General features: G+C 33.5%; 2 long non-coding RNA genes across 2 annotated transcripts in view; both read right to left on the bottom strand.

Annotated features, from left to right (window-relative positions):
• LOC124900272 (uncharacterized) overlaps positions 1-24,611 on the bottom strand; it is a 90,204-nt gene that overhangs the window by 18,668 nt on the left and 46,925 nt on the right. The window contains exon 2 of the long non-coding RNA XR_007061513.1: positions 1-24,611. This exon is cut by the window's left edge and continues 18,668 nt beyond it. This is a non-coding gene — a long non-coding RNA (uncharacterized LOC124900272).
• Positions 1-24,611, bottom strand: part of LOC107984035 (uncharacterized) — a 123,240-nt gene that overhangs the window by 52,641 nt on the left and 45,988 nt on the right. The gene's annotated exons all lie outside the window — the stretch shown is intronic.

Genomic DNA, 24,611 nt, shown 5'->3' with positions numbered 1-24,611 from the left:
TGCATGGCTGTTGCCACCCTGTCTCTGAAACTTATAGGTGGAAATCCTAACCCTTAATATGATGGTATTAGGAGGTGGGACTTTCAGGAGGTGGTTACATCATGAGGTTGGAGCCCTTCTAAATGGAACTAGTTCCCCTATATAATAGACCCAAGAGAGTTCTCTCACTCTCTGACATGTGAGGATACAAGAAGAAAATGGTAGTCTGCAACTTAGAAGAGAGATATCACTGAAACCTGGTCACTCTGGTACCATGGTCTCAGACTTCTAGCCTTTAGAACTGTGAAAAAATTGATTTTTGTTATTTCTAAGCCACCTAGTCTATAGGTCTTTGTGATAGCAGTCAGAATTGACTAAAACAGTAATAGTAGCAATGGCAATGGAAAGAGTGAATGCATTTGATATATACTTTGAAGAAAGAAATAACAGGACTATCAGTCATGTGGACGTTTGGCATGAGAGAAATGCAAGATGGTAATTAAACAAATTTCTGTCTAAGTCTGAAGGTTGAAGAATAGTCACAGGTAAAAGTAAAGCTATGGGAGTTACCGACACTTATGAGCCTTTTAAAGGAATTATTTATTTTTATTGTTAAATCACCAAGGAAGGGTTGAAACAGACAATAGAAATTAACGCCAAATGAGCTGAAAAAAAAATGTGTTGCAATTGAGTTGGGAATAAAAAGCTGAGGTGGCAAGAAGAAAAGCAAGGTTGGCATATTTTTAAAGAACTCTATAATGAATAATGTTTTGAAGAGGAAGAAATTTTCAACAATTTGAAATGCTGCTGAGACTTTGGGAAATGTGAATGGTGCCCATGTAGAAGTTATTGACAGTCATTGAAACAACACTCCCTTTAGCATTATGTATAAGAAACTAGATTAGAATGAAACAAATGGATTCTTAATTCCAGAATTGTGGAGAAATAGAAAATCTAAAAACGTATTGGAAACACAAGAAATGCAACATGAACTATAATAACCATCCATTTCAATAAAATTAGAGGATTTCAGGTTCAGGCCATGATAAAGTAGCACAAACTCACACCCTGAAGTTGGCTATAAAAGCTGGGCAAAATATGTTAGACAACTGTTGGAAGACACTGGAGAAAAATCAATGTATACAGAGCTTGAGTGGGATTATTATTAAAAAGAAATAATTATAGACTATAAATTACATTCACTCAGACATTTTTCCTCTAATAACATTTCCCAAATACTGATGTGAAGAAAGAAAGCATACACAGAAAGTGAAATTTTACTGTGTTGAGGTGACAGAGATTAGAGTTCAGAGTATCTAGTGTGTATGGGGCTCACGAGACAAATTTCCAAGAAGGAAGTAACCACAGAGAGAGAGCCTGAATATCTGCATACAAATGCCCCTTAAGTGTGGCCAGTATCAAAGATATGTATGCACAAGGTGAGACGTCAAGAAGCCTAGCAGAAATCAATAAATGGGAGGTTGGAGTGCTGAGTTTAGATTTCAGCTAGTGGTTTAGAGAAGAAAGAGGTTGTGGTTCAAACACTGGTAATTATAGAGGATGAGATGGGAGTGAGAAACTATATGGCTAAATGTGGTCATTCTTCAGGTTTTAGCTTTTATGCAGGGTGCTATATGCTGGTTACTTCCAACCCTGTAAAAGTTATTATTTAATTACCTACATATAAAAGGTGACCATGAATAGGCATAAGATGAAAGTATGTCATTAATCAAAATGATGATTAATTCAATTCTCTATAATTGAGATTCAATTAAAAAGATTATTCATCACATTCACAGAGTAAATGAGAAAAATCACATAATTTCAGTAGATGCAGATACATAAGATCTGTATCCTAACAGATATTGATACAAAGAAGTATTTGATAAAATTCATCATTAATTTACTGTATATATATATGCTCTTATTAAACTAGGATTTAAAAGGCACTTCATTAAGTTGATAAAGTGTATCTTTTGAAATCCTATAAACAATATCTTATGACATAATAATGTGGGAATGTTAGAAGACTTGCTTTTAAACCTGGGAACAAGAAGAGATTCTCTGTTATTTTCCTATGCTGCTGTAACAAATTGCCACAAAATGGGTAGCTTAAAGCAACACAGACTTTTTCTCTTATAGTTCTGAAGGCCAAAAATTCATAATCAGTATCAGTGGTCTAAAACCAAGGTGTGATCAGCACCCTATTTTTTCCAGAGAACTCAGGGGAGAGTAATTCTAGAAATTATTCCAGAAACGCAGCTTCTAGAACTACATTTCTCGTCTCAAAGTCCCCTTCTTCTATCTTCAAAGATAGCAGCATATAATTTTCAAATATTTCTCCACTTTCATGATCACACAACCTAGATTCTATGTCAAATCTCCCTCTCCATCACTCTTATAAGGACACTTAAGATTGCATTTAGAGCCCACCAAGATAATTCATGATAATCTTCCATCACAAAATTCTTCACTTACTCACATCTGCAAGTCTCTTTGACATAAAGGTTACATTTACAGGTACTAAGGATTAAGACCTGACATCTCTTGAGACCATTATTCAGCCTAACACAGATGTCCTCTCTTGCTGCTTGTTTTACACATTGTACTTTTCTGAATACTTTTGAGAAAGTTTGCTCTAAAGAAGAAAAAAAAAGTAGTTCTATATTTGTGAGACATGTAGACTGAGGAGAATGACTATTTTTCTAATGTGATAAATAAAAGCACATTTATGTGACAATAGCAATAATAGAGAAGATAAATGAAAGTTATGCAGAAGGGAGAAGATTTGACAATAGCAAGCATGAAAGCCCTGCAGGAGAAAAGTTTGGATGGGATACTGAATAAAATTGTAATATTACTTTTTGATGCATACGTTCACACCATTTTTTCACAATGCTTCCTAGATTGCTGTGTATTTCTTTCCCATCTATATATATATACACACATATATATCCACATATATATATACACACATATATATACACATATATATACACACATATATATACACATATATATACACACATATATATACACATATATATACACATATATACACACATATATATACACATATATATACACACACATATATATACACATATATACACACATATATACACACATATATACACACATATATACACACATATATATACACACACACATATATATATACACATTTTGACTGAAAATGATTGGGATGAAAGAAAATGAGAAAGAAAAACGGAATAAGGAATTCTCAATTACATAAATAGAATATTATAATTAGTAAACCATGAATGAAAGAAGGCATATGGGCTGGGCGCGGTGGCTCACGCCTCTAATCCCAGCACTTTGGGCGGCCAAGGTGGGCGGTTATGAAGTCAGGAGATCGAGACCATTCTGGCTAACAGGGTGAAACCCCGTCTCTACTAAAAATAGGGAAAAGTTAGTCAGGCGTGGTGATGGGCACCTGTAGTGCCAGCTAGTCGGGAGGAGGCTGAGGCAGGAGAATGGTGTGAACCCAGGAGGCAGAGCTTGCAGTGAGCCGAGATCGCAGCACTGCACTCCAGCCTGGGTGACAGAGCGAGATTCCATCTCAGAAAAAAGAAAAAAAAAAAAAAGGAATACTTGATAAAAAAGTTATCCATATATCAGATAAGAAGATGTAAAATTTATGTGCTATCTACTTCTGGAATTTCCACCATAAGGGAATAATAATGATGTAGGGGTTCACTTGAAGGACAGAACTTGTACTTGGTTACTTATGTACACAATCTCTGCCTTACTCACTTTTGGTGGATCATATTGTGTCATTTCAATGTGGCCATTATTGTCTTTTATGAACATATACAACAAAGTAATATACCTTTACATAATGTCTACATCTCTACTGTAATTTAAACTTTAGTGGCTCAAAAATGCTAAATTACAAAATAGAGAAAGATGTGTGTTAAATGCAGATTAATATAATTTAAATAATATTATATATGATAAGGGTTTGTAAAACTTAACCATTAAGATGGATAGATGAGAAAGATAGAAACCTAGAATACAATACTAGCAAATCTGGAAACATAGTAGAGATGAGTTCAATAATTCGATTCTACATAAGAGGTCATCAAACTACAAAGCACAGAGCTAATCAGGCCACTGATGCATTTTGGTAAACAAAGTTTTATTAGAATAAAGTGACATCCTTTTATTTTACATATTGTTTACGGCTACTTATGCACTATGATGGCAAATACTGGTACTTGTGACAGAGATCACATGGCACATACATTCTAAAATACTTAATAGTTGGCCCTTCACGAAAGGTTTTGAGAGCTACTGCTCTAGGAAATCTCAGGTTCAATGTCAGTTATGAATCAGTGTTGCTTAGCATAGCCATGTTTGAAATCCTTTCCAATGACAATAATTGTTACTGCCTCTAGACAGAAGAGTCCAATTATTTTAAGGTTTCATTATTAGGAATGGTTCATTTAATTAAGCCATAGTTGTTACTTCAAGTATAATTAATTAGTGAAGGTATATTGCTTTTATGGGATATAATTAATAGGAAAATAGGTTACTGCTGTGTGGCATAGTTATAATTTAAATGCTGTGGCTTTATAGAATTTAAAGGTAGGGTCTGCTTATTATGAATTATGCCTCCCATCATCTAGCTCATGTGAGGTAGTTATGGAATAGCACAATATTTATGTTTGCTGATAATTTATTTTAGATATAATGGTTGGTTAGGAAGGAGTTCATGGTGAAGAAGGTATATGTCACAAAAACATGCCTAAAATGGTGATGGAGAAGACGAATCCGTGTATTTATTCATTTAATAAATTATGTTGTCATTCAAGCAAATAAAAATAGTCTTTACTCTGAGCAATCATATAAAATATCTGTTGTATAATTAATCGTGTGCTTCTGAATAAAATTGATGAAAGCATAGTTTGCATTATAAGCATTAATTCATTAAAATTTACCCTGAACATTGTTATTTGGTTTTATTAGCAAGAAATATAGCACTTGGAATGGTTTACTAAATACATGTGAAGAACTCTAGATCATAAAGAACCTAAAATACAGAATTTTCAGCATTATTATAATCTATTTAATTACACATTCAGGTTTATTTGTTACTGAAACTTAGTAACTTGATTTTGGGAGTTTTATATCGCTTCTGTGTCTTGTTTGTTTGCACAAGTTTGTTTATGGTGAAGTGCAAAGTATTTTAGTAAAAGGGATTTGAGCCACAGATGACAAATAATTACAGGAACATATAACATAAACTACACTCGGACTTTAAAGCAGGTTTAGATTATATTACTTTGGTTATTATTCTTTGTTTTCAAAAGGGAATGATGGGTTATAGCTATATGCCCAAATATTTAAGCAAAACACGACAAAAGAAAGGTGAAGAGACCTTTTATCTAATGGCCAAAGTAGAAGGTAGCACTCATAAAATATACTGTTTTGTGTAATAAGTGAATGGAATCTTTACACAATTTTTTGCTAGGGTTAATTGTTTAGGAAACTTTTCTAATTGGCAACTACTTCATAGAAAAACTTGATCCAGACCTATATGTGGAACTTCCCTTTATATTAACTTGCTGAAATTATTAAAGTTAAAAGCTTGTTTTTCCAGGTTGATACTCTCAAGACCTACAAAGACCAGCACATTGAAGCAATCAGTTGATTACCGTCATGATGCCTGCGTATGTTTGTTTCATGTCAGACACACCTGAGGTCTGTAATTGAATACATAAAGAGTGCAACCATGGAAGAAACAAGGTTGGCTTGTGGTGTTCCTATGGCAGCATCGACACAGCTTCAAGTGCACCATGAGCATGAGCACTGCCAAGAAAATATATTGGCTCTCAACTCTCAGAATACTGCCGCGTCTAGAACTTTTGGCCTTGCCAACCACTGGGCAGTAAGAGACAGTAACAAATCACAGCAGATACTGTTTCCTTAGAGCAATTAAATTACATCAGAAAAACTAAGCTGAGTGATAACAAAACAATTTCTAAATGTCAGGAGCCTATATCAATTCATTCATAAGTTGCTCATTTCACATGTCCTTGGTGTTGCTTATGATTCTACTCATGGGTCATTGTCACCTTTATACCAGGATCTAGAGGACAAAGCAGCCACTCCAGAACACTGAAAGTTACTGTAGTCAAGGAAAAAAAGAATGTTGTGAGGCACGCTCTGAATTTTTGCCTCTAGAAGGAAACAGACACTTTAGTCTACTAACATTTCAATAAGCAAAAGGAAATCACATTCCATAACTGAATTAAACAGGGCAGTGAGCTATATCCTACCATGTGCATGAAGAAGCCAAAAAATATGTAAGCAATCCTAATGTTTATCACCTTAAATTTATCCATGCATGCTACTGTGGTCACTTTCACTGTAAAAGCAGTCATTGCAGAATCATCACTAGTATCTCAGTGTATTAGTCAGGGCAATTAATATTAGTTTCTGAACCAAACTGCAAATATCTGTGACTTAACACAATTTTTTTTCTTCTCATTCATATAATAATTCTGTAGAGGATTAACTTTCTGAAATTCCTTAAAGGTTTTCACTGAATCCTCTGCATTTAATATAAAGAGGAGTATGAGAAGCATTGCGTGAGGTATCTTATAGCTCAGTCTAAAAGTGGGAAATATAACTTCTACCTACATTTCATTCACCAGTGAAATGGTCTCATCCTACCTGCAATTGAGGCTGAAAAATACAGCATTTCCTTGTGGTCCAAAGAAAGAAATAATGTTATCTCACCAATCTCTGTCAAGGTCAGTCCTTCTGATGCCAAAATACCTGCTTTAATCTTCCTCCCATTATAAAACACACCGACTTCTCTCAAAATGAAAAATGCAGAGTTCTTTCAAGGTCTGGCATCCAGCTCAAAATGTAGTATCTCTGGCCACTCATAATTCTCCCAGTGAAGTCCAGATAAGGTCCTCATTTCTCAGTAAAATCTAAACTTAAAAGAATAAATATGTGTCCTGTGTACAAATATGCAACGGTGAAGTGGGAACAAGGTGGCAGCAATAAATACATCTCTATCACCACAGTCATTTGTTCTTGACTATTTGCAAATCATTTCAGGAAGACATGGTGAAACATCCTACACTGTGAGTGGCAGAACCCCATGTGCACTGCAATCTCATTTCCTACCCTCCGGAGGAGTATATAAACTTTTCCTACATAAATAATGGCCATATTTTTGTATCAATACATTGTAAGTTCTAAGATGTGTGTGTTTTTTTAAGAGGAATTAAAATAGAAAAGCATATACCTAAAAGATGTTCCTCGGGATATATCTGCATATATTCTCTACTCTTGTCATTTTAAGTAAAAATACAGTGGTCCCTTGATATCCTCAAGAGACAGGGTCCAGGACCCCAGAGGATACCAAAATCAGCACATATTCAAGTAATCCTGTGGAACCAGAGTATACAAAAAGTCAGTCCTCCATATCTGCGGGTTTTTCATCCTGTGGCTACTGTATTTTGATCCACATTTCAATGCAGATGCTGATTTTTTTAATTAAAATAATCTCTATATAAGGGATGCACACAGCTCAAGCTCATGTTGTTCAAGTGTCAACCGTACTTTTTTATTTCTGTCCAATATAATTTAAATAACATAATTCTGTGAACTGCATGTCATTAATTACATATACTAAGAGGTGGCATAACAATGTGTTTAAATTCCAAGAAATGGTGGCTAGCAAATTTAATTCTCATCTCTGCTCTGCCACAGACAAGTTCTGAAGTCTTGAGCAAATCATGAGTATCTGTCTCTAGCTTACTCATCTTAAGAAGGAGCCAGTAAGTGGCAATTATCTTTCAGTGTTCTTATGAGGAGTAAATAACCTGTACACATCAATGCTTAGAACAGAGCTTGCCATGTGGTATTATGTCCGGAGTTGGTTCCTGCCGGTGGGTTTGGTGGGTTCGTGGTCTCGCTGACTTCAAGAATGGAGTCACGGACCTTTCCCATGTTACAGATCTTAAAGATCGTGTGGACCCAACGAGTGAGCGGTAGCAAGGTTTATTGTGAAGAGCAAAAGGAGAAAGCTCCCACAGCATGGAAGGTGACACCAGCAGGTTGCTGCTGCTGGCTGGGGTGGCCAGCTTTTATTCACGTATTGGCCCCTCCCATGTTCCATTTTTGTCCTACCAGAGTGCCCTTTTTTTCAATCCTCCCTGCAATTGGCTACTTTTAGGATCCTGCTGATTGGTGCGTTTTACAGAGCGCTGATTGGTGCATTTTACAATCCTCTTGCTAGACAAAAAAGTTCTCCAAGTCCCCACTCCACCTAGGAAGTCCAGCTGGCTTCACCTCTCAGTATGTTCTGAATAAATTGGGCTATTAAATATGTGATATGAATTAATCAAGCAGAGAAAAAGTTACTAGTGACAGGGAAAAGGAGAAAATATGTATTCAATATTATGTTGTAAACAATTTATAAATATGCTTCACCTATGAGTTTCTTCTCAGTACCTTAGAAACTATAACACCATGGAAAATTTTGGATAGTTTAGGGAAGTGCATCATTTGGTAATGTGAAAAATAAGATGGTCGTGATAAAGGAACTTGGGAAAAAAGAAATGGCATGAATTTTGAGAACACGTACTTTCTGAGAATTTTCATGTTTAGAAAAGAGCAAGCTAAAAATCTGGAAGCGTGTTTGTTCACAGGCAATTTTCAATTGGTCTCATGCATTTCTGTGCATCTTGCAAATAGAAAGGCACTAGTTTCACATTTATTACAGGTTTTCCTTTTTAAAGATCTTTATATAGTGGATAGCCCTGGAAGATCAAGATATTGTTTATTTATGGATGAGAGAACAGATTTGTTTATTTTCAAGTAAAATGAAGATAGTGTTTCCTCCACAGAAAACATCAGACAAGTGTGCTTACTGCTCATTTATTAAAGATTTAAGTTTCCTTTACTTGGAGTTCTTCATCTGTGACACAAACTGTGTGTAGCATCAACTTGAACTCCTTGTCATCATCTCCAGTAAACTTGAGGGAAAACAGGAACCAGAGCAAAGATGAAGCTCGTGCAACTCTGTGCTGTACTGCAAATAATGGAAGTCTTTCTGTCTCTGACCAAACAGTTATGTGTCTTCTGCCAACATCCATAAAACTGAAGCAGGCTAACTTGTAAGCTCAGATCCTTCACAGTTCTTGACAATAGTCCCTTAAAACTGTCTGCAGATGCACATCCCTTGGAAAAATTTTGCATCCTTTTAAGAATAATTAATATCCTAGTTAATGACAACTATATGACAGGATAGGTCACTTTAAGCTTCTACCCAGATTACTACAACTTTTAGGTAAATAATGTATATGCCATTTTTTCTAAGGCTATCTAGCCATTTTTGATATAGAAAACAATATTGTGTAAGATAAGCTGAGCATATTTTTCACTTCGTTTTTGTTTTGCAAAACAATTTTATTGGTTTTGTTAATGCCCCAATCATCAGTACTGCTTGGTATAAGAGCCGAGTTTGAAGAATTATCATGTTGCAAATGTATTTTGCTCAGTTATTTCAAATTAGTAGACAGAATTGAGAAGTGGAACATTTTAGAAAAATATTGGTTAATCATACTTGGAATTTGGTTATGTAATATCTCTTTCTCTTTTGGGGAATACAAAGGTTCATAAACTAGTGATAATCTTCACTCTTGGAACCATTAGATGCTATCATGATGTTAGCACAGAAGATAAATTTATAATGTTGCAGTGAGGTAAGGAAATAAAACATGTAAGTCTTTGAAAACAACACTATGACAGCCCTTGCAGGCTAAAAATTAGACACCAAAGCATTTTTTGTTACTTTTGGAGAATAAAAGAAGTGTGCCCCTCAATGTCTTGTGGGAGAAAATATATAGTTTGATACACTTGTCAATATCTCTAACTCAAAAATGATGAGTATAAGGAGTGACCCTTATTGTAGGCTTATATTTCTCTCCAACAATTAAGAGAGTTGGTGGGGATGTTTTTTCCATGAATTCATCCCGGGCCCCAGGAGATTTTCATCTTGTATTCTCTTTATAATCCTATCTTAGTGTTTCATCCTCATGGCTAAGTTCAGCAATACTTCTGCATTCCAGACAGTAAAATGTGTAAGAAGAGATGTAAAAACAATCAGCTTTGTCTTTATGGAGATTAACTTAAATTTATGCTCATAATATAATTTATATTATATTTGATCAAAATTAATCACTGATAAGAGACTATAGAAGGTAATCTCCTGCTTGTGGTCATATGTACTTAGGATTCTATTACTAAACAAAATGAAAGAATGCATTATATGGACAATTAGTGGTCTCTAGTACAAAGAAATTACCAGGTCATTTCCAATTCTCAATATTAAAAAAAAGTTTATTTCTTACTGCACTATCAAATTGGAAAGGTCAGTACAGGGGCATTCAATAATAGTAAAAATATTAATAACAATCATATGTATAACAACAGAATCATTTAAAAAGATGTATATTTAAAATGTGATTATTGCATTTTATTTCCCCTGGCAGAAAATAATAAACTGGAGAAAAATCACATTTGATTGATGTCTGTTACATGGATTTTTAAAATTTGTATCAATGAATGCTTTTTAAAGGTAAACTAATTGAGGCCTACTGAAGATAAATAAATCTTTAGTTATTTTGGTAAATATATTTTACAGTTTCATTCTTTTTCAACTTAAGTTAGATAATAGGTACTATATTCTCTCCTAATGTAAATGTTTATGAGCATTGAAACTCCATCTGGAGAAAATAGAAACACTTTTAATTTAAATGACGCTTGAAGAAGGAAATGTATAAATGTATTCAAAACTGTAAGTGAAAATGGGAAGGTCCTATTAAAAAAAAAAGGACAAACACTTTCCAATGACCTTTCTATAATATTAGCAAATTTATTATGATCTGTTATGAAAGACTGTTTTGCCTTCCTTGTTTCTACTGTCTCAACTCCCTAAGTACTAATTCAATTGAAAAGTAACTTCAGGTATGGGTCCATTTTAATGTCCCTCTACAAGATCTGCAGTGCCATTAATTACAATCATATAATCTTAGAGCCAAGGACCCTTAGAGATTATCTAATCCTATTCTATTAATGCATGATGAAATGGGTTTAGCAATCTGTCTAAGGTTACACAAATTCAAAAACACATAGAAAGTTTTCATAATCAAATTAAATTAAAAGTATAAAACAATTAATGTCACTAATTTATGTATAAGAAAATATTAAATATCATTTTATATGAATTGATTCTGATAATTTTAATGAGTTCATAACAATGCTTCTAAATATTTCAAAATTTTAGTTTATCATCCAAATATGATAATAATATACACTTTTATAAGTGAGTCTTCTACAGTGAAAATTACTAATTATAGGAAAGAGAAAATCATAGATAAATAGGGTTGTATCAACTCTTAAAATGTACATGTGGAAATTTAAAAATATCCTCTTGCCAAGGGGATGTTGATGTCATTCCATAACAGGATTGACATGTGTAATTAAAACAAACAACAAAAATTAAGAATATATAAATAATATTTTAAATGCTTGAATTTATTATTTATAATGAATATTGAAATTTATTTAGTGAGATAAAAGGTTAAAAAATTCTTGAATATAATTATACTACTTTTATAATAAAATGTATCCAAGCTGAAATCTCACTTCTGTTGTCAACTGCTTTGATGGTTCTAGACTCATTTCCCTATTTTTGGTGAGTCATAAGATGGATGACACACATGCTCAATAGCAGGTTATTTTCATGGCTAAGGTTTATCATAGCAAAAACTACAGAGCAAAACCAGTTCTACTCATATTTTTAATGAATAGTAAACTAATGATATCTTGTTATTCCTATGCTTTGTCTATCATACCTACACATAAATATAAGCACTGGTAAGTTCTGGTTCCAAACATAGCTTATATATGAATGCCATAATCATTCAACATGCATACATTAGCCTTGAATTTTGAAGATTAAAAATTGTTTGTAAAACTATCTAGAAAAAATTTATTATCATTACAGCCACAGTTAGATTACAAAAGGGTTCATCAGAAATCTCTGAGGTATATAATGGGGAAAGAATATTTTGACTACCACTTTAACAGGTCTGTTATTTAATAATATTAGTTTCTTTTTAATTGATGTTTCGTGGACATCCAGAATACTAGCTATAAAATCATATATGCTGCATAATGCAAGCAAAACAAAAGCACCTGTAAATATTACAGAAGACTATACATGTATGTATATCATTGCCATAAAATACCTATATACATACACGTATATACACACATAATTGTTTTCACAACCATGATATTACTTACAAAAGCATGCAAATTTAGGGAGATGGCTAAATAAGTTATGGCTTTTTCATAAATTGTAAGCCTATTCATTATAAAATATTATTGAGGATCAACTTTCATTTGTTCCCCAACAAATTATTGAGCATCTACTATGTATATTCTAGGCCCATTTGTAGGGACTGGGGAAAAAATAGTGAAAATAACATTCAGAATGTCTTGGCTTCACAGAGCTGTTGTTCCAGTGTTGGGAGAAAAACAGTAATTAATACCACAAAGTATCATGTGTTGTATGCCAGATGGTTTAAGTTCTATTCTAAAAAATGTGGCAAAGAAGGGGAATAGAGAGTTCTGGGCACAAGAGGTGCTGGATACTGAACAAGATGGTTGCTGAAAGCCTCGATGGGTGGTATCATCTGAATACAATGAATGGTTATGAGAGAATGAGCCAAGAGCATAATTGAGAGAACATATTTTCAGGGAGCAGAAATAGCAAATGAGGCCTTGGTGTATGAACGCACCCGTGAGGTTCCACTAAGGATGCCAATGTGATACAGCAGAGGAGATGAGGTCACACTCCATGGGGAGATGGTCACATAAAGCTTCTTAGAAAATGGTAAGAACTTTTGTTTATTTAATTGGCAGCCATGAAGGGTTTTAAACAGAAAAGCAATCGCCTCTTTAAAGAATTAGCAGTAACAGTTTGACTGATCTGTGAAAATAGACCATAGCATAGCAAAAGAGAAAACAGGGAAATTAGTGAGGAAACTATCGTGTAAACTATTCCTGAAGCTGTTGTAAACTATAAACTATGTAAATTATAAATTGAAATTGTTCTATGCAAACAATATATATTTGAACCCTGTATATTAGAGGCAAAAGTCCATGATATTGGCAATGTTTTGGCCTGAACTATGGGAGGAACAGAGTTGGAATTACTCACCTGGGTTTAAATTTGGGAGGAGCAAATTTGGGATTAGAGGATAGGAAAGATCAATAGTTTTATTTTTAACAGGCTTAATTTTAAATAGACACTTAATCATATAATATATTTTAAATAAATTATTAATCATAAAATAATGTCAGGCTAATTTTAATACTCACCTATCAATTATAAATAAATAAAATGATAAGAAAATACATAAAATCCGCAATAGTTGTTGTAATTAGACAGTGGAGTTACTTGTGATTTTAATGATGTAGGAATTATTCTGTTTTTTTAAATAATAAATCTTTATTAATTTTATAATTATCAAAGATGCTATAAAAAGAAATATTTTTTATTACTATGCTACTGATGTATTTCCATTGCATTGACTAACAAAATTAATACTAGAATTTTCAAAAGTATCCACAGTGGTTACTTTATTTGCACTGTTAATTCAGCTCTTTTTAAGTATGCCTTCTAGTTCCCTAATTGATATAATTCAGAGACTACACTTGGACACAATTTAATGAATAAGCAAATTAGGTCCAGTTATTCCAATATGAAATTCCTTTTAATTATGGGCTACTTTTGGAGATGTAGAATAATTTGAATGTTTAATTTGGTGACTCAGTATGACCTACTTCACATTGTTTTATGAGTGGGTGAAAAATATAAGTGCTAGGAAATGTGTACCAGAAATAATTTGTCATCTAATTACATTTCGGAACATTATACCTCCTCAAAACTTTGTTTCAGCATATATCTCATTTTAAAAATCTATGTTGTATATATGTTTACTTCTTTAAAATTTTAAAAATGTTTGTGGCATTCACATAAAATACAGAAGAGAATAGCAATAAGTGACATACATATACTTCAGGACCTGAACATTTATATGACTACATTTTTTTCTTTCCTTAAAAAGAATATATTCAAATACATCATGAGAAAAATGTATAGCTTTATAGTTAGGATAAACCTTTAATTCAAGTGCTGTTACTTGAATTAAGGATGCACAAGCCCCGGACTCTACTCCACAAACCTCACCTGCTATTCTCACCACATAAATACCTAGGGAGAGGGATCTGTCTGAAGGAACCTTTCCCACAACAGCCTTTATTCAAAATGACACACCTGCCACTTTCCTGATGCCTACTCTTGTACTCCAACTGCAGAGTGATTTATTACACACAGTTTGCTTGTATGTTATATAACAGTGATTACATCAAGGATTTGGGTACTAGCTAACTGAATTGATATATTTGAAAGTACTTTATAAAACAGAAAGTGCTGAACAACCATTAAGTATACAGAATGATTTGGCAACAATCATATGTAGTACCATATTTTCTGAAATATCTATTTCTTAAAAAACAAGTTTCATTAAGTGTATTATTTGCTGAATAATCTTTCAAAGGTCATGTTTTCATATAGCTACTATTATTGCATTTTGAAATCAAACATTATTTTCTTTGCCATTTCAGAGAAGCCCTTGGTAATCCAGCCCGCAAATGCAATTCATGCGCATGGCTCTAAAGAGAAATGGGCAAACAAAAAGATTAACTACACATTCAATAGTCATTTATTTATTTTCTTAGAGATATCTACAGTAGCTCTCTCTTATCCTTATTTTAATAAATGCTGACGTATAGAATTAGTGAGATTTTTGGTAATAATATTTTTTTTTGAGGCAGAGTCTTGCTCTGCCAACCAGGTTGAAGTGCAGTGGTACAATCTCCACTCCCTGCAACCTCCACCTCCTGGGTTTAAGCGATTCTCCTGCCTCAGCCTCCTGAGTAGCTGACAGGTGTGCACCACCACACCCTGGCTAATTTTTTGCATTTTTAGTAGAGATGGAGTTTCACCATGTTGGCCAGGCTGGTCTCACTCCTGACCTCAAGTGATCTGCCTGCCTCGGCCTCCCAGAGTGCTGGGATTACAGGCATGAGCCACCGTGCCCACCCGGGTTATAAATTTGTTATTCCTCTTGTGGTTGTTTGGGATGTGTATTTGTGTGTGTGTGCACATATACATATTATTGAATTTACGACGTTACTCCAAAGGCTTTTCTTTAACTATTTTGCTTGATGTATATTCAACAATGATAGTCTCAAACAAACAAACAAAAAACAGACCACACATCTGATTTTTCACCAATACTGTTTATAGAATGAACCTGTATAGAGTCTGAAGCTATTCTGATGATAAATTGACTATAGGACTAGAAAAAACTATTTTGCCATTTTACAAACTCTCATTATGCACCTTATATAATAGTGCCAAGTTAATAAATTTGCTTCTATGTTTATAGTCTGCAACGGAAAAAACTTACGAGGTACTATTTTCCAGATGAAAGTGAAAGTGATGACAGATTTTATTTCTTCACTTAAATTATTAAGATATACCTTTATTATGTGAGCATAATCGATTTTATTGCAGGGAAGTCCCTTAATTCAGTAAAAAAGACAGGATTGCTTCTTGAATATTAAAACATTTTCATCTTTTCAGTTTTGCTTTTCTTGATTATCTATTTTTCTTTTTACTGAGTAATGTATATCATTTTTTAATTAAATATAATTTAAATAATATTTTACAATAATCTAAAATGCTTCTGAATACTTCGTCAATAACTTTTGGATGTTCAATAACATTAAGAACGATTACATTTTTCAAATATTATTTTTGCATTATTTATATGTTTGCATTTTTACAAGTGTTCTAATCGCATATTGCAAGGCCAAATCAGAATTTTTAAAGACTTTATTTTATTAACATTTAATTATAGCAACAATTAAGAAATAAAACAAAATGACATAAAATTTTAAATCATATGAATAAATTAAACCTATATATTTAAATTACTTTACAATTTTAGCATTTTTCATAAATGTACAGAAATTTCATTTTGTGTCTGTTGTTATAATTATTACAATATTAAAATTATGTAATGGAAAAATAAATTAAGCATCAATTAAGACAGCATACATCTGTTGACAAAAGAAAGAGAAGGTATATTTGATTTCCTTGATTTTTTCCTCTCAAAATTGAGAAATAGTTTAATTTTATAAATCTATATCCATTTAAATTACTTAAGTCACCATTTTAGCCTAATTTTTTCATTTTCTAGATAGATTACTCTTCTTTTTTTTTTTTTTTAAAAAGGTATCATTTATTCTGGTTACGGGTAAAAGACAACTTTAGATGTGCAAATATTTAGATATATAATCACAATTAGTATTTTTACTTCATGAAATCTTTAGGCGCAAACTTTGCTGTTCTAAACTAAAATTTGGATTCCAATTCAAAAGCTAAAGACTATCATAGTGTGATTATCCCAAATGAACTCTTTTACCTAACACTTACTGAAATTTCAAGATAAGTAGTATTGAGATTCTACAAGTCAGTAAGAGGTCTTCTCCCTGTGAACTTTTAGGTTTTAAGGGCACAAGGAATTTAATGGCTACTGGGCTAAAGAATGTAATAACCACTATTGTGCATATGATTTTAGTCATATAGGCAAAAAGCCTAGGAGTTACATTGTTTGGTCAGATGGCATAAGTACAATTAATTGCAATATAAATTGTCAGATTGTTTCAAAAAGCTCTACAATAAATTATTCTTCACCAGAAATATATGAGAGAACACTAGAAACAATAAGTCCTATAGATATCTTTAAATGCTACCTATTTGATGGTTTTTCTGGTGACATTCCTGTGTTATTTTAATTTGTATTTTCTTTACCACCCATGAATCTTAACAGATTTTTCTATGAAAGTTCAGCACTTTGATTCATTCTTCTGTGGACTGACTGCCTGTGCCTATCCACTTCCCTGGCTCTCTTGCTTGGTGTGTGCATGTGGCTTAGTTTTAGCAAATAGAATATTTGCTGTCCCTGAGCCTTAGTCTTAAATCCTTATACAAGCACTTTTTCTTGTTATCTTACCTGTTTGTCTGACTTGGGTGATGATTCTTAGAGTAATTTTGGTTGCCAAATGTTAAAGTTAGTAGAAGTACTATAAGCCTCTGAGTGGCTAAATGGTAGTTATTTCTGTGGCCTGAATACTCTTATGAGATATTCAGAGAGATTGAGAGGGAAGAATTATTTTTGAAGACATGGAATTTTTATTTTCTATTCCTTAGAACAGTTTAGTTTACCCTAAATAGTAACTACCTATTATTTTCCTCTGCTAATTTTTCTTGAGGCTCCTAACTTTATCAGGTGAATTTTAAGACATCTGTGAGGCTGGGCACGGTGGCTCACACCTGTAATCCCAGCACTTTGGGAGGCTGAGGCAGGCAGATCACGAGGCCAGGAGTTCAAGACCAGCCTGGCCAACATGGTGAAACCTCGTCTCTACTAAAAAGAAAAAAATTAGCTAAGTGTGGTGGCGGTCGCCTGCAGTTCCAACTACTCGGGAGGTTGAGGCAGGAGAATTGTCTGAACCCGGGAGGCGGAGGTTGCAGTGAGCCGAGATCGTGCCACTGCATACCAGCCTGGGTGACAGGCAAGACTATATCTCAAAATAAATACATACATACATACATACATACATACATACAAACACATATATGTAATGTATAAATATTACCTTTTTGTCATCTATTTAACAAAATATTTGCTCAAATATATCCTTCCATCTGACAACTATTTAACATTACTTTTCTAATATTTTTACCTTATTGCTGCTGACTTGATACATTTTTATTCATTCCACTACATCCTTGTTATTTTGGAAGATCTATCCTTTATTTCTTTATTAAGGGGTATCTTCAATTTTTTGACCTCACAATTAGATGCATAATTTTCAAGTACTATTTGAAATAAAGATGCCTTCTATTGTCTTAGCAAATTAGTCAATTTCTCTACTTACCCCTCCTCAATAAGTTGACAAATTCAAAAAACATAAATTTCCCCATTTCTTTTTCACCACTCCCCTCCAAGAAACCTTGGAACCAGTTTGTTCCAAGGTTTGTTCCCACCAAAGTCTAGATTATACAAAAATATTTTAGAATGTTAACGATATATTGTTAGTAAAATTCTTCTATTGAATAGTTTATGATAATTTGTCAACATGAAATGTTAAGCAGACATTGAATACCAACTAGAGCTATCCATATTCTCTTAACGGGATTTCCATTGAGTTATTGATGAAAGATAAAGTGATATAAAGAAAATGTGTATACACCGAGTGCAAAATATTTTATACCCTTTATGTGGCCATGAATATTAAATCACAGCTATGGGAGGAAATTGCCAAATACATATATTAGGCTGTTAAAAACTGTTTTTCTGAGCTCTGGAAACTGATGGATAGGCATAGCAGAAGAGAGCAGAAGCAAGCCAAGAAATCAAGGAAAGGATACAGCTATATAACAAGAAATAAAATAAAAGTACGTAATGTAATTCCCTTAGAAAATGAAGTAGGGTGACTGAGAAGATGTGGAGAACCTTTATACCAATGTCCTTTTTCTAATCAGATTTGATTATAAAACATCGACATAAAATCAATATATGTGTATTATATTCATTTCAATTTTAATTTCAAGACCTAATTTTGCTGTCTTAAAGATCATGGATAACTCCATCTTATCTCAGTGTTCAATCTATAATTCATTAAAACAGTTTTCAAAAGAATTTTCAAAATACTTTATTATGATTACAACCATACTTAATCTTCAATTAGGACATACTATGTGATAAATACTATGGTGAAGTACTTCTCAATAATCCATATTCTTAAACACAACAAGTTCTAGGATCAAACTGCTTACATTTATATATTTGCTCAATCACTTGCAACATAAATATTTTACAGATGAAGAAACTAAAACACTTTTTTTTTTCTCCGAAACTGTTTCAGGGCTAACTTACTCATGAGCTTGGTAAAAATAAAAATTATTAGATACCTTGTGGATCCGTTGCATACATTTCAAATTTAAGTTTTTGAAGCACTTTTTGAAAAGACTTCTTTATGTGACATTTGTTCATTAAAAACACAGTGATTCTTTTTTGAAATATGATCCAATTGTAAAATATCCTGTGTCTAGAAATGAATTTATTTTCCTAACAAAAATGAATTAAATTATTAATTAATTAAATTCTCAGAACCATTATTTAAACCAAGTGTGTTGATCCTACAACCAGTGAAAATAATCCCTACAATGCTAAAAATGTGTGTGCTATTATCCATCTATTTCCTAGTTCATTAAAGCCAAGTTATCATAATCTGGACTTTTTACCAAAGATTTTCAGGGATGTCAAAGGTTTTTACTCCTAAATTTAATATGCTGAAATATTACTTTATGTTCTATTTATTTTTATTCATTTAAAATAACATTTTTCTCTATGTTGCGATTGCAAAAATTAACTTATTTACATATATACATGATGTCATGATATACTCTAGGCACAATTTTGGATATTTCCTTTTCCCAATCTGTTTAACTTACACAGGTAATCAATATATGTAATCACCAAGCAAAAGACCTTCATTGGTTTCTATTTTGTTATTTTTTCCTCTGGAAAAGAGTTTAAGATAGTTTTAACATGAAGAATAGCAACCATATTTTTTGCATACTGTTATTTCTTCAAAGACGCTTAATCTATATAAACAAATTTTAAAAACCCTGGTATCAGTTAGGTAAAATCTCTGAGATTTAAAATATTTACTAAGCTACCAAATGTTAAGCAACACGGGATTCTGAGAGATTGGCCAATGGCAAGGATTGTAAGGGAACAAAAACTTGGAAACAATGCTGTTTGTCGACATCTTGAATAATTTGCTGTGCCTCTATTTTATGTCACAGTATTTCCACTTCCAGGCCTATACAAATAAATAAAATCAGTGTTATACACAGAATAGGTACGCACACACACACAAGCGTTCAGATATAAAGATTTCAACTGTAGCATCATTTGTAATAAACAATATTGGAAACAATGTTGGTATATATTGCTAAGAAAATGTGTCGAGATCAATTTAGTATAATTATATAATGAGATATATGATTATTTCATTTCTTTATGGAATGAGTGTAATGGGAAAATCCAGTGGAAAGCTTACGTTAAAGCTAAGAAAGTTAAATCTTTAAGACCTTTCATGTGTATGGGTCTTTCTCGGGGTCATACGAGTTTTGCAAAATTTGCTATGTAAGATGCTTAATTAAAAATAAGAAAAGCCACACCTGTTTTGACTCCCATTTGCCTTTAGTCATTTATCTCCCTGTCAGGTAGTGCGGGTCCAGCCTACAGCACTTTTAGTATTCAGCTAAGGGGAAGTTGAATAGAGACATATTTAATTTCAGTTCATTGAGGTTAATGTGCTTGATTTAAAGCCACTTCCATGTAAAATGAAGTTGTTTCTGGCAGTACAGAGACTTTCTATTGCTCACTCCATAGATTCATCCAGTGTCGTAGCACAGAGGTGCAGAGGCAGGAATGTTGTGAGACACATGTCATGCAGTACTTGGTACCAGAGGCTGCAGAGAAGGAAAGAAACAGCTGCCCTTAACCTAGCTCTCCTTTCCACTAATTCTTACCGTGGTGGTGATGTGGTGAGAACCAGATGTCCTACATGTAAGGGGATCTGCTGTAGGCAAAGAACTCTGGAAAAAAGAACCTGAGCATTTTTGTGGAAGAGTGACCCAGTTGCTCTGACCCCCTTCTGAGTGTGTCTCCATAGTCACAAAACGGAAAAAAGTCTGAGTTCTTACTCTAACCACTTGGATAAAAATAAATCTCTCTAGGGGAAAGATAACACTAGAGTCTCCAGCTTTGTAACTTCTGGGATGCATCTACTGGGTCTCATCTTCTCTTGAAATGTAAATATATATCCCTAGTGAGGTAAATCCCTCAGGATGGCCCCTAACCATGTTCTTTCTGTGAATTAATTTCCAGAGCTAGTTCTTAGCGTAGAGCAGAAGTCTGAGTAAAATTTGTTGAGAAAGTTCTTACTATGCATAAATTATTTACAGCCTAACACTATCCATTAAAATCAATAAGAGAAAGACAAACTAATCCAAAATGACTCTGCAATCGGGGCTCTAAAACAATGCAGGTTGACTGTAATTGTTAAAATGAATTTGGAAGGTATTTGATCTTATCTGTTAAAATTAAGTATATGCATACCCTGTGACCAATAATTCTGCTACTATCATCCAACAGGAACACATAAACATATTCAGCAAATGTACAAAATTTTTTATTAAAGAATTATTCACAACAGCTTAAATTGGAAGTTTTGCAGTTATCCATCAAGAGTAAAATAAACACATCATAGCATATATATACATACATGGAGTATTATCAAGCAAGAAGGATAAATGGTATACCCAAGAGAGCTTTGATGACTCTCCTAAATACATTTCTGAGTAACAGAAGCCATCCAGAAAAGAATATATATTGTTTAATTCTATTATAAAAGTTCAAAAATAGGTTAAAAAAAGTCTATGTTATTAGCAATCAGAATAATAATTACTTGCAGATGGAGCAGATGGTAATTTAAGGGAATTTTATTGTGAAATATGTACAATCACTTTGTTAAAATTAATTAACTATATACTATTTGTGTATTTCAATAAAAATGTTTAATAAACTATCTCATCGTTGTTATTTACATTTATTAAATAGCATTTAGGCATGGGTGAAAAGGTTTAACTTGACTGGCCTGAATTGCTCAAATACTATACATTCCAAAGAGGGGTCCCTCTGCAGGACTAGACCTTAGACTAGGAGTTCATCTCTGAGCCCTTGGAGTATTTTGCTTGATAAAAGTGTTCTTGTTTTCCTGAAGTCTTGGGCCATACTCTCCCAGTTCGACCAGAAAAGGTTATGTTATCAACGTGACTTATGTGAACATCTGTTTTTACTCTGGGTGTAGGAAGAAAGTTGTGCTTAAATGTCATGGAGCTGAGGTCAATCATATGGGCATTACATGACTATGCGACTGATCCCAGTAAACACCTTCGACAACTAGGCTCCAGCGAGTGTTCCTGGTTGGCAATGCTTTGTACTTTACATATTGTTGTTGGGATAATTAAACATGTCCCCATGCAACTGCTCTGGGAGGGGACACCTGAGAGCTTGGACTTGGTTTCTCCTGGAGTTCACTTCATTTGTCTTTTCTCTTAGCTGACTTCTATCTGTACTGTTTTTACTGTAATATACTGTAACAATGAGTACTACAGCTTCTGATTCCCTTAGAGACTTCCAATAAATTACCAGGTCTCAAATGGTCTTGGGAACCCCTGGCATATTACTGAACTTAAAGTTTTCAGAATATCTGTATTTGGTATATTCCATGGCAAGCACTATACCCATCACACTTTTTCATTTATTGACATAACTCCAAATATTTCCACATATCTAAAATTCAGGAAAGTAACCCTATCCTTACCTCTGAGGATAAAGCTTGTTAAGCATAGGTAAACCATGATAATTTAAATTCACCTGTTTGTGACTGACTTTTTTTAATGACTGTTTTTAGTCAAGAAAATGTGAGGGTAGGTCTGCCAAGAGCTACTGAAAAGAGTTACATTTTCTAAAAAAAAAAAATCCTCATCTTTTCTCTTTGAGAATAATTTGTGGTGTTTCTGAAATCATTGTCTGCCCATAAAGAGAGATTACTTAAACAAAAAGTCTGTATAAAATATGACTACAGAGAAAGATGAGAAAAAAATCATATTCTTGATTAATTTATTGATCTATTAAATTAATAGTCTTGGAAGTAGATCCCTCTTTGGACTTCCAGTTAGAGACAGGGCCTTACTCTATGGCCCAGGCTGGAGTGTAGTAGTGCCACCATAGCTCATTGTGTAGCTCACCGCAACCTCAAACTCCTGGACTCAAGCAAACCTCCTGCCTCAGCCTCCCAAGTGGCTGGAATACAGACCGGTGCCACCATGACCACACCTGGCTATTTTTTTTTCAGTTGTAGAGCTGAGGTCTCCCTATGTTGCTCAGGCTGGTTTTGAACTCCTGGCCTCCAGTGAGCCTCCCACCTCAGCCTCCCAAAATGCTGGGATTCCAGGCATAAGCCACCAGACCTGGCCTATTTATAGTTTAAATTTTCTCATCGTCTAAATAAAAGATCTAAAACTAATTGTCTAAGTTGGTGGAGCAGTCAGAACACACACATTTATTGATTAAATTCATTGTCATATATGGATGTGGTTCATGGTGCCCAAAACAATTACAATAGTAACATCAAAGGTCACTGGTTACAGATTATCATATCAAATATAATTATAGTTAAAAAGTTTGAAATATTGTGAGATTTACCTAGATATGGCACAGAGATACAAATGAACACATGCTATTACAAAGTGGTGCCAATAAAGTTGCTTGATGCAGGGTGGTCATAAACCTTCAATTTGTGTAAAACACATTATCTGTGAAGCCAAGTGAAGCAAAGCACAATCAATTGAAGTATGTCTATATTCCACTGCCTTTTTAGAGTGTATATAGTTGTATTACATAACATACATAATATATATACAAATATATATAATATATATACAAATATATATAATATATATACTTGGGTATATGTAATATATATTATATATATTTGTATATATATTATACATACATATTATATACATATATAGTATACATATATATTATACATATATATTATATATATATATATTTGATATGGACTGTGTCTTGTTTCCCCAAAATTAATATATTGAAGCCTTAACTCTCAATGTGTTAGCATTTGGAGGTGGGACCTTTGGAAGTAATTAGGTTTAGATGAGCCCATAAGGATGGGGTCTTCATGATGGGATTAGTGCTCTTACAGGTAGAGACCAGAGAGCTAACGCTTTCTATTCACTATGTACGTACATAGGAAAAAGGCAGCCCTTTGAAAGCCCAGAAGATGACCCTCCTCAGACTTGCCAGGTTCAAGAACTATAAGAAATAAATGTCTATTGTTCAGACCAGCGCCTATCTTATTTTTATATAGCAGCCTGAGCTTACTAAAACAATTAAGAAAAAACAGCAAAGCAAACAAACAAAAGCAACTATGTTTAAAACTCCTGGAAAAATAATTTATCTTCTGTGCAGCTGTTTTTTTAAGATTTTCCTTTAATGTATTTCCTCTCATTTTTCTTGCGTCTTATTTGGAGTCTGTAGTAGCATAGTTCTTAATTTGCTTATCAAGTAATTTACATCATATTAAACATGAATTTCAACCAGCAAAGAATATTATTAAAACTTCTGGACTAATGTTATTCACTTGTATTCTTTCCTACTACCCGGAAATGCTTTTGCTGGCAATGATTTCTCCTTTGATGTTGTGAAGTTTCGGGCCATTGTTAGAGAAACAGGTCCACTTGCCGATTAGCAGGCAGTAGGCTTTGTGAC

Source organism: Homo sapiens, chromosome 9, assembly GCF_000001405.40.
Source record: "Homo sapiens chromosome 9, GRCh38.p14 Primary Assembly".
In the NCBI taxonomy this organism is placed as follows: Eukaryota; Metazoa; Chordata; class Mammalia; order Primates; family Hominidae; genus Homo; species Homo sapiens.
This window is presented reverse-complemented; position numbering and strand designations above follow the sequence as displayed.